At 34.8% G+C, this 21,017-nt stretch overlaps 1 protein-coding gene across 18 annotated transcripts in view, besides 1 other annotated feature; it reads right to left on the reverse strand.

Moving 5' to 3' along the window:
• The window catches only part of IMMP2L (inner mitochondrial membrane peptidase subunit 2), an 899,849-nt gene that overhangs the window by 131,105 nt on the left and 747,727 nt on the right, over positions 1-21,017 (reverse strand). For 6 of the 18 annotated variants that reach the window (XM_017012701.2, XM_017012700.2, XM_017012702.2 and 3 more), the window contains one exon: positions 1-21,017. This exon is cut by the window's left edge and continues 14,580 nt beyond it; it is cut by the window's right edge and continues 20,970 nt beyond it. The exons of the other annotated variants lie outside the window; for them this stretch is intronic. The gene's annotated coding sequence lies outside the window, so the exon portion shown is untranslated. 18 annotated transcript variants of the gene reach the window in all.
• Positions 10,775-11,276: an enhancer, noted in NCBI's record as "NANOG hESC enhancer chr7:110444579-110445080 (GRCh37/hg19 assembly coordinates)". NCBI's record gives its function as "activates a minimal SCP1, AML or CMV promoter by ChIP-STARR-seq in primed H9 embryonic stem cells {active_cell/tissue: H9 hESC(primed)}" and the evidence as "EXISTENCE:reporter gene assay evidence [ECO:0000049][PMID:30033119]".

The following is a 21,017-nucleotide window of genomic DNA, read 5'->3' on the forward strand; positions in this document are numbered from 1 at the left end:
TGCTTAAAAATAATTACTATGTAAGGAGATGGATATGTTAATTAGTTATCATTCACTGTGTATATGCATATCAAAACATCACGTTTTATACCTTAATTATTAAAAAATTTATATAAAAACTTTAAATGCATATATACAGATGGCAAATAAGCACATGAAAAGGTGTCCAACATGATATGTCATCAGGGAATTGGAAATGAAAACAAGTTACCACTACATAACTATTGGAATAGCAAAAAGCTGACAACTCAAAATGCTGGAAAGGATGTAAAGCAATAGGAAGTTTCATTCATTGCTGGTAGAAATGCAAAATGGCACGGCCACTTTGGAAGACAATTTGGCAGTTTCTTTCAAAACTAAACATACTCTTGCTATATGATCCAGCAATGGTGCTCCTTGGTATCTAACGAAATGAACTGAAAACTTATGTCCACACCAAAACCAGCACATAGATATTTATAGCAGCTTTATTTATAGTTGCTAAAACATGAAAGTAGCCAAGACGTCCTTGAGCAGATGAATAGATTTAGTAAACTGTGGTACATACATACAATGAAATGTTACTCAGCACTAAAAAGAAATGAAATTTCAAGCCATAGAAAGACATAGAGAAACCTTAATATTACTAAGTGAAGGAAGCCAGTCTGAAAAGGCTATCTACTGTATGATTCCAACTATATGACATTCTGGATATACACAAAACTACGGAGACAGTTTTGTTTTAGTGCCGATTAAAGATTCCTTAAAAAAATGTATCTTCCATTATTATCAAATGGTACTTAAATGCGATCATCATATATTCCTATTTTTGAGTTAAGACATTTAGGATATTAAGCTTGGAAAAAACCAATAAGACAAAACATCATCACAAAACAAAATCCCCAGCCTCCTAGGGATTCTACCACAGTATATGACTATTGCTATTATCACCTTGGAAGAAAGTTTCCAGGTTTACTTAGAAGAAAATAAGGAAAGTGTAAGAATGTTTTGATTATGAGATGAAGACCCCGTAGAATCATACATATGAGTTAAAAGAAACTTTTAGCTCCAACCCCTTCATTAAATATAAATAAATAACGAATACATATATTCATTAATAATAATGAATTAATTAATAAATAATGACTAGATATATACACACACATACAGGGAAACTAAGACAAAGAATACCTAAATGACTTGCCCACAGTTTTACATTTAGTTAGCAATTGGGCCTGGTCCAGTCTTTGACTTCTGGCTCACTGCTCTTTCCTCTGGTTCAGATACATGGAGGGAAACAGATGGGGAGATGCAGTGAAGACTCTGGGCAGTCAGGGTGATTTAAGACACCAGGTGCTTTCCAAACAAAGAGAATAAGAAAAGGGACAAAAGTGGCTGGAACATGTTGAAGACAAACATTGCAAATTTTATGATGGAGCCCCAAATGAAATATGCTTTAAGATTATGGCTGAGTTCCTGAGTTTTCTATTTGGACCCCAGCCTTGCTTTTTTTACTGGCCACTACCAAACCAAGCTAGTAGGTTTTCCTAGCTGTTGACTCAGTATTTGTCACATGATTACAGATTCTCCTACTTAGTGATGATTAAAAGTCTAAAGCAAGATTGGTGTTTTAAAAAAATCAGTATCCTATCATGGTTTAAATATAAAGTATTGAGCAAGTGGGCCAGAAACAAGCAAGGGACTTTCTTTCCTATATCAGTAATAATAAACATTGTCATAAAATTGAAGTTACATCCTCTCTTGAGGGCAAGATACTGTGCTGACAGTGCTTTTTACTTAACAGCCCTAACAACCAACTCAAGCATAAGCATAGCAGCCATAAAGAAACATCTGCTGAACCAGAAATGTAGAGACAAATGAAATTTGTGACAAAAAGAGAAGATGGCACTGGATGCACAGTCAATCTGGGATTCAGGTCCATATCCTGCTTTTTAACCCCAGAGCTGATGCCTTGTACAACTGAACCAGGGAATCACACTAAGATTTTTGTCATACATCTGGGAACTGAATAGAAATCAATCAACATTTAGAAACCAGCTACTAAATCCCAGGCTCTGGGATACAGAGAAGGAGAAAGCAACTTTCTTACCCCCAAGGAGAGCATTATACAAAGCAATGCTTGCCTTGCAGTAGGACAGAGATAGGTGGTGATATGGTTTGGCTGTGTCCCCACCCAAATCTGATCTTGAATTGTAGTTCCCATAATCTCCACGTGTTGGGAGAAGGACGTGGTGGAAGGTAATTGAATCATCAGGGCGGTTACTCTCATGCTCTTCTTGTGATAGTGAGTGAGTTCTCACGAAATCTGATGGTTTTATAAGGGGCCTTCCCCTTTCACTCTCATTTCTTCCTGCTGCCACCATGTGAAGAAGGATGTGTTTGTTTCTCCTTCCACCATGATTATAAGCTTCCGGAGGCCTCCCAGCCATGCTAAACTATGAGTCAATTACACCTCTTTCCTTTATAAATTACCCAGTCTTGGGCATGTCTTTATTAGCAGCATGAGAAAGAACTAATACAGATGGACTTAGAACTCATCCAGTGCTCCACCTGGATGCCAAGCTTCAGAGAGGTAAAGCACTGTAGAGAGGTAAAGAAATGAGTTCAAGGCAGAAATAGAACTCTATCTTCTTGCTTCCTCGCCCAGTGCCCTTTCCAACACAACAATTCAAAATGGTATGTTATTTTACTATCTTTTCTTGTCTTCATTATTCAAAATCTTTGTTTCTGACTTTTAGAAAGAGATTTTCTAACAAAAACTCTCCAGTTAAATATTATTGGACCAAGTTCTCATCCTATGGTAACTTAAAACACAATCTCAATTTCTTTCAAATACTAAGAATATACACTATATTATGTTATTTCATAGACTACTTTTCTGGAATATAGTTTTTCCTTTTTGGAAGAGGAAACAGTTTAAGCTAGATAAGGAAGAACTCAGATTTCACATACCAACAAAAATCTTTGTATTACAACCCACAGCTCTGCTTACCTAGAAAGCAAGACCTGCAAGATCACAGGTGAAAAGATAGGGTTCCTTCTTTCAATACTTGGTTAATTAACCAAGGATATCTACAAGGTGTTAGCCGAACACTCCAGAAAATATCACATTTACAATGCATACAAAGTATAGCTAAATGCCTTTGCCTACATTAGCCAGCCATTTATTGCTTATTGCGACCTCAGCAAGTATTGAGTTGATTCATTGTAAGCCTCTGGTTTGTAGAGCAAAGGCAGCAAAAAGTAAATCAGAACTCCCCACTTCCAAGAAGAGTGCCAGTTTCATTTTCCTGACTACCTATGAGTAAACAACTCCTATGTAAGTACTAAAATGCAGGATCTATGGAACTTTGATTCTCAATTTAAAAGGTAAAGAGCAAGGTGATCTTTCATGATCCTTTTCCTCAGGAAGCAACAGTTCTGTCTTTGCTTCTGTCTCAGAAAATAAAAAAAAAATGCTATGAAATTTAAATTATTATTACCTTATTTCACAAACTGAAAGTCTAAGTGAAATAAAAATCCTGAATGAAACATTTCACCCCATTTGACTCCTCATCAAAATTACACAGTAGAACATATGTGTAGTAGAGGAGCTTTAAGGAAGAAATAATATTGGTTTTAAGTGTCTACCTTTATTCAAGAATAAATTATTAATGGAAAAAAGTTTTAATTTTTAGGTTGAATTAAAGCATGCTTTCAATATCATCTTCCCTTCTCCCTGATGTAATTAACCAATTCAGCAGATAAAATTCATCTTATGTTGAAACATGCATTTAAATGAAGTCTGAAAAATAATTAACTAAGAGAAGAGGCAATTAGACAACACGTTTCTGTTGTGCCACAGCAAGTTCGTGCTTGTAAGTGTGAGCACACTGGGTACTAGTATAAGAATATCTGCCATTCTAAATACCTATATTATTCACTGGGAACTGATTACTTTATTCACATGCTATTTATTGGTTCCCTGCTATATGGAAGACACTGCTAGTCCCTAGAGGAGAGTTGAAAAGTTATAAACTAATCCCTGATATCCTAGAAGTTGAAATCTGCTAACAGAAAGAAAACACATGAAGGATCGCAGTGCATGACAGTATAAAATAAGTGTCATGTCAGCATCAAGAAGTGATAAATAACCTAAAAATCAGTTGTTTTGAAATGGATCTTGCATTGTGCCCATGAAAAATTAAATGATGTAGAAGAAGGATTTGAAGAATAACTATTCTGCCTGATAATAACAGAAGGGCAAACAATGGTTATTAACACAAAAGAAATGCCAAAGTATAAGAAAAGGTACGAGATGTGCAATTAATCACAAAGCCATAAGAATCTTACAGCGGTCATATAGTTTATATATAACTTTTATTTATCAAAATATAAAATATTTTCTTCTTTGTGATTCTAATCACACTAGGACACAATTACAGGAAAAAAAAGAAAAGCACAAAATATTAAAATCTAGGCACTGTGATTAACTAATTCAAACAGATAAAATTCATCTTATTTCAAAACATTCAAATAAATGAAGTTTCAAAAATAATCAACTAAGAGAAGAGGCAATCATACAACACATTTCCGAGGAACATTTACTATGTGCTTGGCATCATGAAAGGCACAAAGAAGAAATCAGAAGGGAAGCTTTTTGAAGGAAGAGAATATACCTCATTCACAATTTTATCCACAGTGCCCATACTACCTGACTCATAGGAGATCATCAACTAATATTTTTAAAGAGATAAACTTAGACGGATGAATGATTGAATAAACAAATGAAGGAGAGAATCTCTAACTTTTGGCATTCATATTAGTAACATATTCATTCTAGTTCTAGAAAAACGTTATACCAATTTGTAATAGAAAATTGAGATTAATGCTAGAAAACTAAATTTAAAGCCAAATAGGAAGAAAGCGGGGGTGGAGGGGAATACTAAGATCTGAGGAAAGATGGTGACTTCAATTGAACATTATATTTATTTCTGAGTTTTCTACTAGTTAAGGAAAAAGAGAAGCAATTACTTTTTCAGTTCTTATTATCTGATTAAAGGGAAACATCTCCACAAACAGACGTTTTTTATCTGGAAGTATAAGAGAAATTTACATATAGAAACATACATATAAAAATTTATATATAAGGAACTCTGTGATTAATGGGCAATGACATCAATAGCCTCTTGCAGATAATATAGAAAGGCTTTTCATGTGGTCCTTTGTTTTGCTGACTTTTGATAAAAACTAAAACAATGGTAATACGCTGTAACTCAAATAAGGCATTTTATGTCAGTTAAGCTTGTTGTTTTCTAGTGATTTACCGAATTATAAATAAATTTTGAAAAAAATGTAAAGGAATAAGTGAACACTGCCAATCTCAAATACCAGTTATCTCCCTTTGATACTATTAGCCCGAGCTGGGTAGTAGTCAACTTAACATTGAGGTCTTTACAAAGAATGCCTAGAGTATGGACTCCTTCGCCTGCTAACTGCATGCTTACCATATGTATATCTAGAAGCTTAGAACCAAAAACTGAAGAATTAAATTTGAGGGTGCTAAAACCAGTTTTTGAAAGGGTGACTCCTTCACTAAAACCAAGTGAAAGGGGACTTTAAATTGAAGAAAAATTAAATGAATGATGTGCCTTTTTTCTGAAACTCAAGTCAGGACATATTTGTAGACTAATTGACTGAGTATATTATAAAATGAATTTAGATTGTAAAGTTGTTTTTAAAAGAAAGAGGATAAAATTATCTTCTATTTTTATATCATTGAATTTGTTTTTGGAAGCATGTCATGTAATATATAGATTACCACATCCTTTGCATTTAACATATGATTGCCCAAATACTTTAGTAAAGGGAAACATACTGGAGTCACATTTACTCGAGGAACTACAGTATATAATTTCTGGAAGAAAAGATCAAAGATGACAATTTATCATTTTTATTTACCGCTAGTCATTTTATTTCTCAAATAAAGACGGAAAATGTTCAGTGGTAGCCTTTTCAGGCAAAGTCAAGACAGCCTAGGCCAAGCAGATGGGTGATTCACTGGCAATATCGATGGTTTTGTCTGAATTACGAATTCCACTGGTTGAGGCTTTGCTTCAGTTCACCCATAGAGTCTCTAACATAACCAGCTTTGCAGTGATGTAGGCCTGTCCAGCTCTACTGTAAATCACTCCATGACAATGAGGGTGAATTCTGAAATTCATTTCCATAAATGTTCCCTGAAGTGGTACCATAAATTTTAACACAAAATTGACCTTAAAGATTTGCTAAAATATTAAATGCATGTGTAAAATATTTATTAATCTTTTCTTCATTATTTCAAAGTCATTCTGTTCAAATGGAATTCATGCACTTGAAAGAAGAATTGATAGCTTTTTTAATCTTTTTCATTTATAAATTTCTAGTTTGTTGTTGCTGTACATTCTATAAACAAAATATTTAACTAATAGAGAAGATCATTAGGAAGTGTGAGAAAGTATCAAGAGGGAAGTCTGCAGGAATAGATACAACAATTGGAGTATTAGAAATACTTTGAGAATGAATGACAATACAGAGAGCAAATTATCAAGCTCCCCTCCCGCCCAAAGCTGAATGGCATGTCCATCTCATTTAATGATGTATGTCTTCTGTTATAAGCTAATTTTCAGGGTTTTCCATGAATCTGCAGAGAATTTTTGAATGGCCAAGAAAAGAGAACAAAACCAGAAAATATGCAGATACACATTAAACAACAAAAGGATCACATCAATAAACATTCATGAAGTGCTTCCCTATGTGCACACCTGCCAACTCTTTGAGAAGTTATAAGAAGAAGGAATCATAGTTTCTTCCCAAAAAGTTAATATGCTGGTTTGAATGAAAATATATGGATGTAGATAACACTATTTTTTCCTTATAACAAATTTTCCTTAAGATGATGCTTTTACAAATATATTATCACAGCATTTTTATTCATTGTGGCAAAGGACATGCGCACATTTTCTTGAAAACAGTGACAGGTTAGCATCATTTGACCCTATCCAGGTTACTATTTTAAGGTTCATATACCTAGATATATAATAGACAATCATAACTTCTTTACAGGGTACATTTGGTAAGGGCAGATGCCAATAATGTAGGATGAAGAAGTGGCTCCAAGATGAGTCTACTCTATTCCACAAGTCTTAGTCAGATATCTCATAAATGGGGGCCACTGTTCACAATGGGTACCTTCATCAGAAATGTGGATCAGGCACTAAAAACAAAAAAATTAAAAACCCTAATCAAATCAAACAAACCAAAGCACATGACTTACAGCCCATGGTTTAGTAGATTCATTTTTATACATGGATGGCAGCATACTGTTATCTGTGATTGTTTTTAACTCATGACTGCTGTACATAGTTGAAAATGTTTCTACACCTCAGTTTCCACCAGCTTTCTAGGTCTGACTGGAAAGCCAAAACTACTCATATGCTCTAATATAGAGCCTGCACCTGCTATCTGTTATTTACTTAGCTGCTGTAGTTGTCCCTTTAGAGGCATGTTGCTGTTTGAATCTAATATTTTGCTCAAATTGAGCCTTCCCATATACTGCTTGTCTAAATTTTATTTGAACTTCCCATAATAAAAACAAAAGTATGCTCTCTAGACCTCTGTCTCGAAACTAGATTTTCCAAATATGTGCTTGACTTATACTTTCCTTTGGTCATTGTTCTTATGAGAACTAACTCAGTTGACTGAGACACTGAACAATAAGGATTGCCAGAAAACTATAAACAGTGATGCCATATAATAATATCCTAAAAGATGGGTAAGAGGAACATTGACATTCCTATTTATGCTGTTACAATTCTAGCTAGAATTGGGAATTGATAGGTTTAAGAATGTGAAATCAACTTCACTCTTCAATCATTTCAGTTGTGAACCCTCTGATACTGAAAAAGGAAGTAGGTCATGGTTAGTCATTCACAGAGAGAGTCCTAACAGGGACATAAATGGAAAATACTGAGGTCCTGTACACAGGCACTGGTAAGGTATGAATTCCCACTGCTGGCACAACAGAATTGTCGAGGTCTGGAACATGGGGTAACAGATATTGGGTTGGGTGACACAGCTTGCTGAGTTGTAGGATTATTGCCTTGTATGCCTATCTCTGTGCTGACAGCTATGGGAGGTAGGTGGTAGGAGAAGCAGCAAACTCACAGTTTTAGGATCCTCCTATTTAACAGAGATATCTCATTCCATATGACAGTGAAGATCACCAAACCTTAGGTATGTCTCCATGAAATACATGGAGCCCGGGGCATACACCTGTACCCTTTACAACATATATTCTTTGCTGTGTTATGAATGAACCAGAATAGAAGCAAATTTGAACTAAATCCAAGTCATTGATCTTGGTCATCTTTGAATATAGATAAGAATCCTTGGTCTACCCTAGCAGAAATAGAAATTATGACAATTAAAAGGAAGCTTACATTATTAAAAATCCTCTTCTGAATTTTCATGAAATTAGAGGTCCTGAGGTTAACCTGGTGGTATGGATTGTATTTCAAAAGGAATTTTTCTTTTAAAGACAGTGTGTATGTGTGTATGTGTGTATGTGTGTGTGTGTGTGTGTGTGTGTGTGTGTGTGTGTGCCTGTGTCTGTGTTGGTAAGTACAGCTCTATATTCTTTTTTTAATTATATTTTTCCCTACATTGTTAGGTGGCATTTTTTTGTTTACGTCAAATTAATATCCTATACCATTATTATTTTGTAATTTTATTTATAAATGTACTATAAAATACTTAGACTATGAAGAACTCATGTTCTTAGGAAAATAAGCATTCAAATATTGAGAAATATATAATAAAATCATAAGATACGGTCTTCTATTCAGAATATGTATTATTAGCGTCTTCTTTGTTATGGGCCATAAAAACCATTAACTATAATAGGTTCTTTCAGTCAGTAAGTATTTATTGAACATCTGCTCTCTTTAAAGCACAACTATAAGAACCACGAGAATATAACAGAGTCAAAAAACAAAGTCCTGACCCTGAGGAACCTGTGCAGAGGATGAAGCAAGAAGATACATACGGAAGGCTGGTGGAGAAATTACAAGGCATTATGGGCACATAGTGCAATGGTTCAGTACTCATTTCTGGGCCGGTTATCTGTTTAAGGATAACTCTAGGTGTGGTCCCTGCCCTCAGGGAGCTAACAGTCTAGAAGGATAAACACAAATAAATGGCCATTTTCAATACCACTTGATGTTAAAATAGAAATATGCAAAAGAAGTAGAGATTATAAACACAATTACTAGAAGTCTGTCCAGATCAGCTCCATAGTGGTTTTATGGAGAATGCCTATTGAAATAGATGAGTTTGTGTCTTAGCCTTGAAGGATGTATAGGATTAGGATAGGTAAAAAGAGCAGTAATGGAGGGGCATATTAGGTAGTGGGAACAAAATGGACATAATCTCTGAGATAGGAATGAATAGTAGGAGCTGTGTAGGGGATGGTGAGGATCAGATAGACCAAAGAAGAGAGGGTTAGGAAGCAGCTGTGAGGTATGAGTTGCAGAGCTTAGAGACAGCCAGTTGATGTCCACTTTGAATATCATCAAACTGCAGAACCTGGACTCAATTTGATCTGCCATAGAGAGACACTGAGTGTGGAATCATTACTGTTGCAGTATGGGGTCTCTGGAAAGGCAGACTCTGAAACAGAATTTAGTGTTTAAGATGTTTATAGAGAGTAGGAATCAATGGGATCAATGTGTACACAGGGAGAAGGAGAAAGGAGAATGAGGCTGAGAGGGAAGTCAGTTGACACCACTAGGAGGTCTACCACTGAAAGGGGCTGGAAGAATGTCTTGGGTTGGGGTCTTCCTACCTCTGCTGTGGTTAGTCATTGGATGGGGGGAGCTCCAGAAATGGGAGTGACCTTGGACCAGGCAGCTCCCTGTAGCCAAGGGCAAGTCCTGATGGGCTGACAGGCTATCCCCTGGGAGCACTCCCAGCAATTGGGAGAAGTCATTCCTTGAAGGAACACCTGGGGAGTCAGAGTTACCAGTAGTTTTCAAAGTATGGTCCTGGAACCATCAGTATCTCAACACTTGGGGACTTGTTAGACATGCAAATTATCTTGCCCCACCTAAGACCTGGTGAATTACAAAGTCTGGGGGTGGGGCCATGCAGGAATCTGTTTACCTAGTCTTCTTGGTGATTATGATATAAGCTGAAGTTTAAGAACAACTGGTAAAATGGGTACTTGAAAGATGAGAATGAGTTTATGATCACTGAGTAAATTAAGGAAGTGCAAAAAGCCTTGTTTGCCAATACTCTACATCTAACTTCTTAATTGTGCTGCTTTGAAACCACATGTAAACACTCTAAAAAGAAATGAAATAGGGGATGTCCTCTTTGTTTATTATCATCTCCAAACACCCAGGATTTGGGTGGTAAACACTGTGTTTCTGATCTTGGTATTAGAAACATAGTATTTATTTAAATGCTAGATCCTTCTTTCATGCCAATTACTATCTCCAGATGAAAAATTCTGTGTGGCATTCCTAAAAGAACCTCCTATACACCAAATATTTGCATGGCAAAAGTTCATATCATAATGTACTTTTGTACTTTTGGCTGTAGGTTGTTCTGTGTCCCTGAAGCAAAACTTTATTACATGGAAGTCTTTGGAGTCTAAAAGAGTAGTGATTCACCTATCACTTGTGGGATTGACTAAAACCAATCAGAAGGCAGGGTGTTCTGGAACTCTGGTTTCTAATGCACACCGAGTCCTGTGGCACACTACTAGCTGTCCCCTCAATGCATTCTCCTAGTCTTGCTGGGCACACAGCAGCTCAGCTAGGGACTACATTTCCCAGACTTCCTTGCAGTGTGAGGTGGACACCTAAGTTTGGGTCAATAGGATGTGCGAAAAGTGAGGAATGCAATTTCTAGTTATTTTCAACTTAAAGACAATCAGCTTTCCCCGGACTTCCTCCCAAACCCACTCCCCGCTGGGGCTGGAATACCAAAGTAGCAGCAATCCAGCTTCGGCCATGCTAATGAGGACTACTTACAGGATGGAAGAAAAACATGTAAGGAACTTGTGTCTCTGAATGATCTAAAGGTTCAGGGCTACCCTGCAGTCTAAGCCAGAATGTTAGGTAAGAGAGAAACAAACCTCTAACATTTTTGTTTCAGCGCTTTACATTAGCTTAAACATTTATAGACAGCTAGGTTACAGGAAAACTCCTGAAATTAAATAAGGAAATAAAATCACCAGTGATGTCCTTCACGATACTGAACTGCCTGGAAAAAATTGACTTTAATATTACCATAGATGCTACATTGAATTATTTCTTAATCTTGAACAAAGTACGAAGAAGTCACACCAGTTTTAAAAGGTAGATGAGTGACTCAAAAGTCCTACTGAATAAATAAACAAAGGTGCTCAAGAAGTGTTTCATCTATTACTGATATAACATAAATTAACATTTAATAGAAACTTAAATTTTTAAGAACAAACTTTACCAGTCTGAAAATGGTAACTATTGTTCCACAGTACAAGTCAGTGCTAGAAGGTAAGCTCCAGGAGGGTAATGAATTATGGCTTATTTATTGTTAAATTAACAGAACCTAGAAAAAATTCCTGGAATAAAATAGGCATGGAGTAAAGCTGTAGAATGAACGAATAATACAATCTCTTTCATGGTCCAACATCCATGCATAATCTGAACAGATATATACTAATACAGAATTGAAAGATTTGCACCTATCTTTAAATACGTTAAATCTTCTTAAAAATAAACCACCATTAAGTCATTTTTTAAAATAACATTAAAAAATTCTATGATCCTATAATTAAAATTTTGCTATTACACTAACTGATTAAATTCAAGATTTATGAGCAATTGTGTCAAGGAAAAAATATAAACTCTCAGGCCTATTAAGAAAAATGTAATAGAATCATAAAATTGTATTATATCACAGCCAAATAAACACAGTAAATCCTCTTCTAACAATGCAGTAACATTGGCCTTACAATCTTGACTTGTCTTATACATGGCTTTTACTTTGCATAATTGTGTTTTAGAGATATTTTGAAACTTTTCTAAAACCTAATGACGTGGTATAATGCTTGGGGTATAATGCTATACCCCAAGCACACAATTTATACAAGGTAGAAAAATCAAAAAGACTTTATATTTGGCATTATCTAGTCTATTTTCAGTGAAGAGTTAACTCCTCTAGTTAGACCAACCCTTGCTAAAGTGGGGGAAGCCATTCATTCAATAAATCAATAAGTGGACCAGTTATCTTTGTTCCATTCTTAGGCCAAAGACTGCACTCTTAATTAGGAATCCTTGTTATTGATCACAGAGGGAACCTGGTGAGTAATAAGATGGATAGCTAAATCCATGAAATTACTAGAAAAATCAGTACAAAACCTATTTATTGCATGTATTTAAAGCAACGAGCTCAAATGTCAGCGGAAGTCCAAGAGAGTTGGTTCATGTTCTGGCTCTGAAGTTCTTTTCTGCATAATTTTGGACTTCACTTTAGACTTCATTGTACCATAATTTTTCAATATGTTCAATGCAGATATTATTTGGCATCCATTTAACTCATGGAAACATTAATAGATTAACATGATAAAATGTCTTGAAATAAAGTAAAGGGCTATTGAAGGAAGATATGCTATGGATCCAAGATAGCATTAAACTGATTATTTGAGAGGAATTATCCATAGTTTCAAAAGTATTCCATATCTTATTCCCTATTATCTTGCACTTTAACAGATAATCTTCTTTCCTATATGTTAAGCATGAAAATTCTTAACAATCTTCAAAGGGAAAAATTCCCACAAAACCCAAAAAATAGTTGGTCTCAAAAAAATGAAACCAACTAAAGGGATACTGCACACTAAAAAGGCAATTAAAATGATAAAATATTTCTGTGCTCAGATCTATGGCTGCCAAATTTCTGGTCAACTTCTCAATTTAGAAATATGATCCAATTTAAATGCTTTCTTTTTTTAAATCCCCCTTTGAAATTTTCTGGCATAGTCAGAAAAGGTGATATGAAAGATGAGAAAAATCTTAATTATGTCAGAAAGTACAAAGGACTCTTAGAAAGTAAAAAGCATTTGAAAAACAGTTAAATATTTCCTTAGGATGAAATAGCCAAATGACCCGACTGTGGTTTGAGGAGGTTTAATATGTTTCAGGATAGGTGTAAATCCTTTAATATTACCTTTGTATATGTCTGTTCTGATTATCCATGGATGTTGGACCATAATGACCAATCTATGCTAAGTAGTCAGTCCCCATCTCTGTATCAATTCTTGGTCACTGTTTAAGAGACTTGTTCTGGCTCTTAGTTTTAAAATCTTACTAGAAGATAGGTTAAAACCTAATATGCTCTAATTTTCTACATTCCTTGTATGTGCTTACTCTGGTTTCTCCTCTATGCGAAGCTTTATTCTTCAAGCCTATTCTTCTAGTCCCTATGGAGTCTACCCCATTTTAAAGCTGATAGAGTTAGCTCCTTTCGGTCAAATACAGTATGTTCATTCTTATTCTCAACCCAGGAGGACATTTCTTTGGCCATTAAAAAACCTAGTTTGAAAGCGTGTCTGAATTTTCTGATGTGTGTTAAAAAATACAAACAAGAAATCTCATTGTGCTTGTATCCATCTCCAACCTGAACAAAACAAGTGACAAATCATCCCTCTTCCTAACCACTTCCCTTCATTTGTACCTTTTCTCTAGTCACCCAAACACAAAGTCTAATTTTAACCAAGTAAATATTTGATAATTTCAGATAAATTACTTAAGACTCCTATGAAAGCAACTGATATTCCCAAAGCATTAATTTTTAAAAAAAATTTAAATAAATATACATGAAGACATATATAATTGTGTACAAACAGGTTGGAAGAAAATGATTACAACTTTTTGTAAAGAAGTCTTTAAATCTATCCTTTTAAATACAACTTCATTAGTGTTATAGTTATTTAAGGTATCCTACCAAGGAAACAGAAAATTTTCAATTCTGTATGCAAATCTTGTCATCCTCACAAAAACTGGCCCCCAGCTAAACCACTGACTCTTGGACTGTCCCTTGAACCAGATACAAGTCAGAAGAAATCAGTATAACTTCTGCCCTAGTTGATGACAGAAATTGGCTTAATATCTGTGTGTTATGATTACAATGGTTTCTAGAGCTACACACAGCCTGAAGGTTTTTAAGAAAAAGTTACAAATGAGTTTGCTAAAATATTCTCAAAGTTTTAAAATTTTACCTTAAAAAAAGATTGCCATGGAAGGAAAGTACATGGGAAAATATTAGTTTTTCACTTTAATAATTACATTTAGTAATTACATTTCAATAATTACATTTCAATACTCAGTGTCTGCTTAAAATACATATTCAAATAAAGATAAAAGCTATCTCAGGACATGGTAAGGACTGTAAAATTCAACTTAAATGCATTCTGTTAAGGATAATTTCATTTTTACTTTGTTCCAATACCCTAGCCCACACCTAGGAATTTGGCTTGGTGGTAGTAGGCAGTATAAAGCAGAGCAGCCACCATGCGCTAACAATCTCAGTACATCTGCTGTCATCCAACATTTCAAATCTTCAGTCTGCAATTATAATAGGAGAAGGGAATCAAGAGTTTATTTATTTTGGGCAGCCCTTTATGAATGAATGCAGTCACTAAAAGGCTAATTGTGTCTTCTGAGCTATTAATTGACTTAGCTCCAGGAGTACTGTATAAAACATATGGCACAAGATCCAAGCAACTGTCCAGGGCTGTGCACAGGGGGCATTTGGCTTCTCTTTGAAAAGAAGAACCGAAGGTAATCCCTTTGCAGCTGCAGTGCAGATGGTTTTCTTTACACCATTTCACTGAATACTAAACAGAAACTGGAAAAAGTTTGGAAACATAATAAACAAACAGCTGAGTGTTAGCTTAAATGCTCTCTGCATCTATCAGAGGGAAGCATTCAGAATCTCTGGATGTTTACCAGATAGTTTAAAGGAAACATAGAGACGTGAAAACTGGATGAAATGATTTTGAAATTGTACCTAAATATGGTTCTATGTGGTTTTCGTCAAAGCAACAATATAATTAAATCTCTCTGAAACTTCAGTTATGGGTGTCATGATTCATAATCCTCGACATCATAAAAAGTTTAGGTTTCCTCGGAAATATGCTGAAATGGATAAAGCTAAAATCACCCTTCCTATAGGAGTTACTTGAAAATCACCGTTAACCTTCATTCTTCTTCCTTAATGTGGCAACCTAAAACCCTGTCATCTTTCCCAAATAAAAATGCACAGTGAAGCTCAATTACCGTTTCAACTTCACATCATTTTTCTACACTGGCAGAAAGAAACCATCAAATAAGAGCCTGGTTGGTGGGCAGGCAAAAAGCAAAGTCATATCAATGAAGAGATTTGGCCTGTTAATATTCAGTAGGTAATAAATAATAATGTATTTAGCTCACTGAAGAAGACTAAGATATTAATACTAAAAACAAATCAGGTAAATACTAAAAACAAATACTCTTAGACATTGGGATTGCAGTAGTAACAAAATACCTGTCATGCCTATCAACATATATACATTATTTTATATATAGCAAGAAAGACCAAAATATTAGCCTTTTTAGTTCTAATTATGAATAAGATTATGAAAAAGATTATGACTAGTATTTATGGATAACTTGCTTTAACTTTTTTTGGTCAGGTGCCAATCCAGATTTTTCCTAAATAAACATATATTGTATTATCTTTATAAAGAAAAGTTACCTAAAAGACTATGTTACATACTGTATTAATAACAAACGGGCCAGACCAAAAGGTAATATTACTTTATGTAAAATACATTATGAACTAGATAAATATAATAATTTCTTTATGTTTTCTCAAATCTCCTAGAAAATAGTGTTAAAATGAAGTTCTTCAAAACCTGAAATAAACAATTACTACATTTCTCTAACAGGGCAACTATCTGTTTCATCAGTTGGATACTTCATGAGTTTTAAACAACAAAGCAATTCATTAGGCAAAATATATTCTGAAGCCCTACTATCCAATGACACCAAACCGAAAATAATCTAAGAATATAAAATAAAAATTACTCCTCTTTGCCACTGCTCACCCTTTCCCCCATTCTTCAGTTCCAAAAGCTTTACATACACTTTGGAAACAGCAGTAGCTTTGCATTATGAAAAACACGAAAGACAAAGCACACCAACGCCAACTCTAAGAGGTTGGTGGCTGGTGTAAAGGCTTCCTTCCTAAATGCCTGCCATCTGGAGCCGGTGTCCTCACTATTCTGCCTTGCCGGCTTCCATCTCGTTCCCAACTCTCAGCTGGAAATGTTTTGCTTATCCCTTGTTTAGTCCTCTTAATTTCTTTCTTCTCACTTGCTTGATTTCATTTAACTTGGTGAAACAGTACAATGGCTGCATTTAATTCATTTATCAATATTCAGCTAAAAAGGACTATAAGAGAATTCACATATGGCTGCTGATACCATTTCTGGCCCATTGAGTAAAAAGACTCTTAACATTTCAAATTCTTCAGTGAGAAAAATTCAGCTATAAGTCACTGAAGAAATAGTTATAATCAGATAGCATGTGTTGCTAAAGGAGCTATTATGTTACCCATTCCAAACATCTTAATATACTGGGGGCATAAGACCCCTTTCTGGTATGTCAGTTATTAAACAGCCTAAGAAAAGAGCTGAATTGTTGACATGAGAATGAACATTTAAGCTGCTTGTCAGTACTCTGGTTATGGTAAGAACCTTAACCCATTTATTCCTGAGGTTGCAATTTTTTGAATCTTTGCCATCAGACCTTAAGCAGTAGGATATAAATAACTCCCACATGCTTAGAGTTCCGATAATGGAACACTAGGCATAAATGGGATTAATGAGCCTCAAATATCCTCAGTGGCAGAGTTTGAAGCTTGGGGATAAACAGACCACAGCCTAATTCAGTTTGAAAGTGATTAATTATAATAAACAATACCTGAATTTGTGAAGTAGTTTGTACTGATATGTTATTTAAGCCTCAAATATGTGTTTTTCTTCAAATTAATACGACTAAATATTTGAAACTTCAATTATGGGTGCCATGACTTGACATCATAAAAAGTTTGTTTCCCTGAAAATGTGCTGAGATGCGTAAAGCTGAAACCACTTCCATTTCTATCAGGTCAGCAACGTAGAACCCTGTGTACCTACCCTGGGGTGACAGGAGAGGCCATGTTGAGGATATGGGGGACAGATGAAGGCTGGGGTGACTGAAAGATTCCCCAGGCTCTGGCTTCTGATACCAGACCCTATGTACTTGGATATTTTTGATTTGCTTGACATGTACTCGGGTAATGAAACCAGTGAAATTTATTAGTTTTTTTTATTGGTTTGACAGTCATTTTTCTTAAGGAAAAAAATAAATATTATTGCTTTTTAGCAATTTTCTCTATTTTTATAACACTGTAAAATATTTTCCTCATACAGTGGAGAAGCACAAGGCTTAATTGTTTAAAAATCACCAATTCTAGAATGACCTTAGTGACTCATAAAGAAGATATCACAGAAAATCCTAAAAATCAAATCTATGAAGGCCTTAATGCCAAGCATTAGCCTGGTGAGAAATGTGATAAAGGTTCATATATTCATAAACAAATATAAGGGATGGCAATTTATTATAAATATCATTCTGGGCTTATTCATCAATGCAGCTGGAACAGGTGAAGGTAAGTGTACAAACAACTTTCCCTTTTCTTTTTTTATTTTTATCCAGACAATTTTTGGCAGAAGTATTGGTTTAGCTTCTATAGCAATTTAATTAAAATTGAAATAGTCTGTGTATTTTTTGTTTAATTTTTAAGCTATGGTAATTTAGAGCTATTATATACAGTAAAGTGTTATGCAAACATTGTAAACAAATGAAGACATCCAAGAGAGTATTATCATGGATATGTGCTGTATTTATTGCCTGGCATCTCGTACCCTTTCTGGAAACAGCATCCTGGTTTTTCTTCATGCAACCACCCTTCCCTAGTTGTTAGTCCATGCAGTTTAAGTAGAATTGACTCCACCTCTGGCTTAAGAGGGGCCCACCTAATAAGAGCATCCTAACCCTCTGGCCACAGTGATTGGCTCAGGGACAGGCATATGACCTAAGCCATTCAATAAGATTCAAGTTAGAACTTTGCTGCTACTTCTACCTCTATTCTTCTCCAGGGATAATCACTGATAGCCTGTTTCATATGTACTCGTCCAACCTTATTTCTCTGACACATATATTTGGTGATGGAATAAACCTATAGATACATATATCCACATATGTATATATACATAAATGTACCTATGTAGTTTCTAAATAGAGTGGTACAATATAGGAAGTGAATCTCTTTTACTCAGATTATTTACATCTTTCCATTTCAGAGCAACAGATCTGCCCTAAATTCTTAATCTCTGTATTCTAACAAATAGAGAAAATAATTTACAATCTAATCAATAGGATGTCCTATACCATAGCAGACTATGAGGGTAGAAAAACCCTAGCTGAAGCAACAGCTCATTTCTGATCACCCTCTGCATCATTATTTGGCACCTCAGGAGTGACACAGGAGTTAGAAGGAGCCAGTGATAAAGGGGGAGAAAGTCCTATGGAAGTGGTGGGCTTAAGAAAAATGGAGACAGAAATGCAGTATAATTCAGAAGAGAGAAACAGTGTAATCTGAAACAAGTCTCGCTGCTATCTTCTAGGAGCTGGCATCAGAAGGCTTTATTTAGCAGGAGGACAAGGCATATGTTGGTTCTAATGAAACCAGGCTCAGGCTAGACTTGGAATTAAGTTACATATCCTGGATCAGGATTGGGAGTTTGGGACTGAAGTCTCAATTGTCTCACAGAAGATGGAGGCTGGGGTAAATGAAGACAGAGAAGAAGGGAAAACTTGTTTCAAAATCATGAACATTAACTCATAATGAGAACTCATAATGAGATCTTATTGTTTGCAAAGTTACTAAGAACAGGACACTCATTTCGTTTTTCATTTATCCTCACCTAAAATTCCATGTATAGATGATACTTCTTTATGTATTTCTCTCTTCTTAAAAGAAAAAAAAAGGCAAATCAAGCAAATGCCAAGTCTGTTTTTATTAAAATATACATACATTCACACAACTGGCATTTTCAAGTGGTACTGCATTTTTTATGGCAACTAGTTTGCTTAATAAAAACTCCTAGAAGACCTGACACAGCATGAAGCTGAATTAGAGTTACGAGGAATCACTTTGCAGTAAAATGTTTTCCCCTATATTTTACCACTAACCTCTTTTTTCAGGATTAAGGACATTGTGAAAAAGTTGTCATAAAATCAAAGGATATAGAATGGAAAGAGGTACATGAAGAGTTTTTCTAACTTTCTAAATCATCTTATTTTTATACTTTATTCAATAACTAATTCTCATTTTAAACTGAAACTCCCTCTCTTATTGAATTCATTTGAGCAAAAATTGAAGTCAAACTGTTTTTCCTTTTTTTATTTGGTCCTTTTAACAGAAAAAAATTACCATTTTGCAACATTACTTCAGGTCTGTTTTGGGTATGAAAATTCTTAATTGTCTGTGGGTTAAGAATTATTTAAAAACATAAAGTTAAAACATTTCTTTCTTTTTTTTTTTTTGAGACAGGGTCTTGCTCTGTCAGCCAGGCTACAGTACAGTGGTGTGATCATAGCACACAGTGGCCCTGATCTCCCAGGCTCAAAACATCCTCCCACTTCAGACTCCTGAGTAGCTGGGACTACAGACGCATGCCACCACACCTGGCCTATTTTTTCTAACACGCCTGGCCTAAAATATTGTTTAATCAAAGTCAGGCTACCAGAGGGAATGGTGGAAGGATGTTAACTGTAGATAAAAATAAGAAAGCTAAGAAGTATAATTATGAAGAGACAGATCAGAAATTCTAAGCAAACACACCAGGATTTTTTTTTTTTACTTTCTATAAATACTGTCCTAGACTAATTTAATATTTATTAACTCTACTAAAGTAGTTCCATCACCCAATTTGTAAAGTGCATTTTTTGCCTGAGTTTAAAATAGAAAGAACACTTTAAAATTACACCAAAAGGAAAGAAATTTTACTGTACTGTTTCCTCAGATAAAATAATTTCATCTCAACTAATTTCCTGGACAGAAACGTATTTTCCATACTTAATTCAGAACACAGGCTATTTTTTTAACGCTTATGAGTATATTAACTAAAGACATCAATTCCCAATGAAACAGAGAACACTCTTGATTTGATTGGCAGGATTGGGCTCTCTCTGCTTGTGAACATCAGCTAGAAATTGCTACATTACCATTTTACTGTATTGTTTTCAGGAGCAGTTCTAAACGCATAGTCAAGCAACATTCCAAATTCCATCCCCAGTTTTCCTCTCTGGAGAATTTTTCTTATGTCACAGGAATGGTGTATAATGTTTTTATAAGCAATTGCCATTTTAAGGTAGCAAAATCATTAACTGGGGCCTACTTGAGGTTATCAGTTTTTCCTATTTTGGAACCTACATAATTTTATTATGACTAAACAATAGCTGAAGAGCATTGTTCTCTATTTACTCCTAAGATGAAAATGTATATGACCTTGAGGAAATATCAAAGTAAAAAAAAAAAAACTATATAGTAAAAAAGCATTATCAGAGTATTAATTATTAATAATAGGCTAAGAATTAAAAGAGGGAGCATTTATATCTAAAAAAATCACAAACCAATAAACTGTTTTGGCTGTTAAGTATATGCTTCATATTTACCAGGACAACCTGATTTCTTTTTCTTTTTTTCTTCTATTTCTTTTATTTTACTTTAAGAGAAATGGACTTACTCTATCGCTCAGAGTAGAATTCTTTTTCAACAAAAACAATTGGTCAAGTACAGATATATATATATATATATGTATATATATAAAATTTAGCTGTATGAAAGTCATTTCTAATAATTGA

Source organism: Homo sapiens, chromosome 7, assembly GCF_000001405.40.
Source record: "Homo sapiens chromosome 7, GRCh38.p14 Primary Assembly".
Classification (NCBI taxonomy): domain Eukaryota; kingdom Metazoa; phylum Chordata; class Mammalia; order Primates; family Hominidae; genus Homo; species Homo sapiens.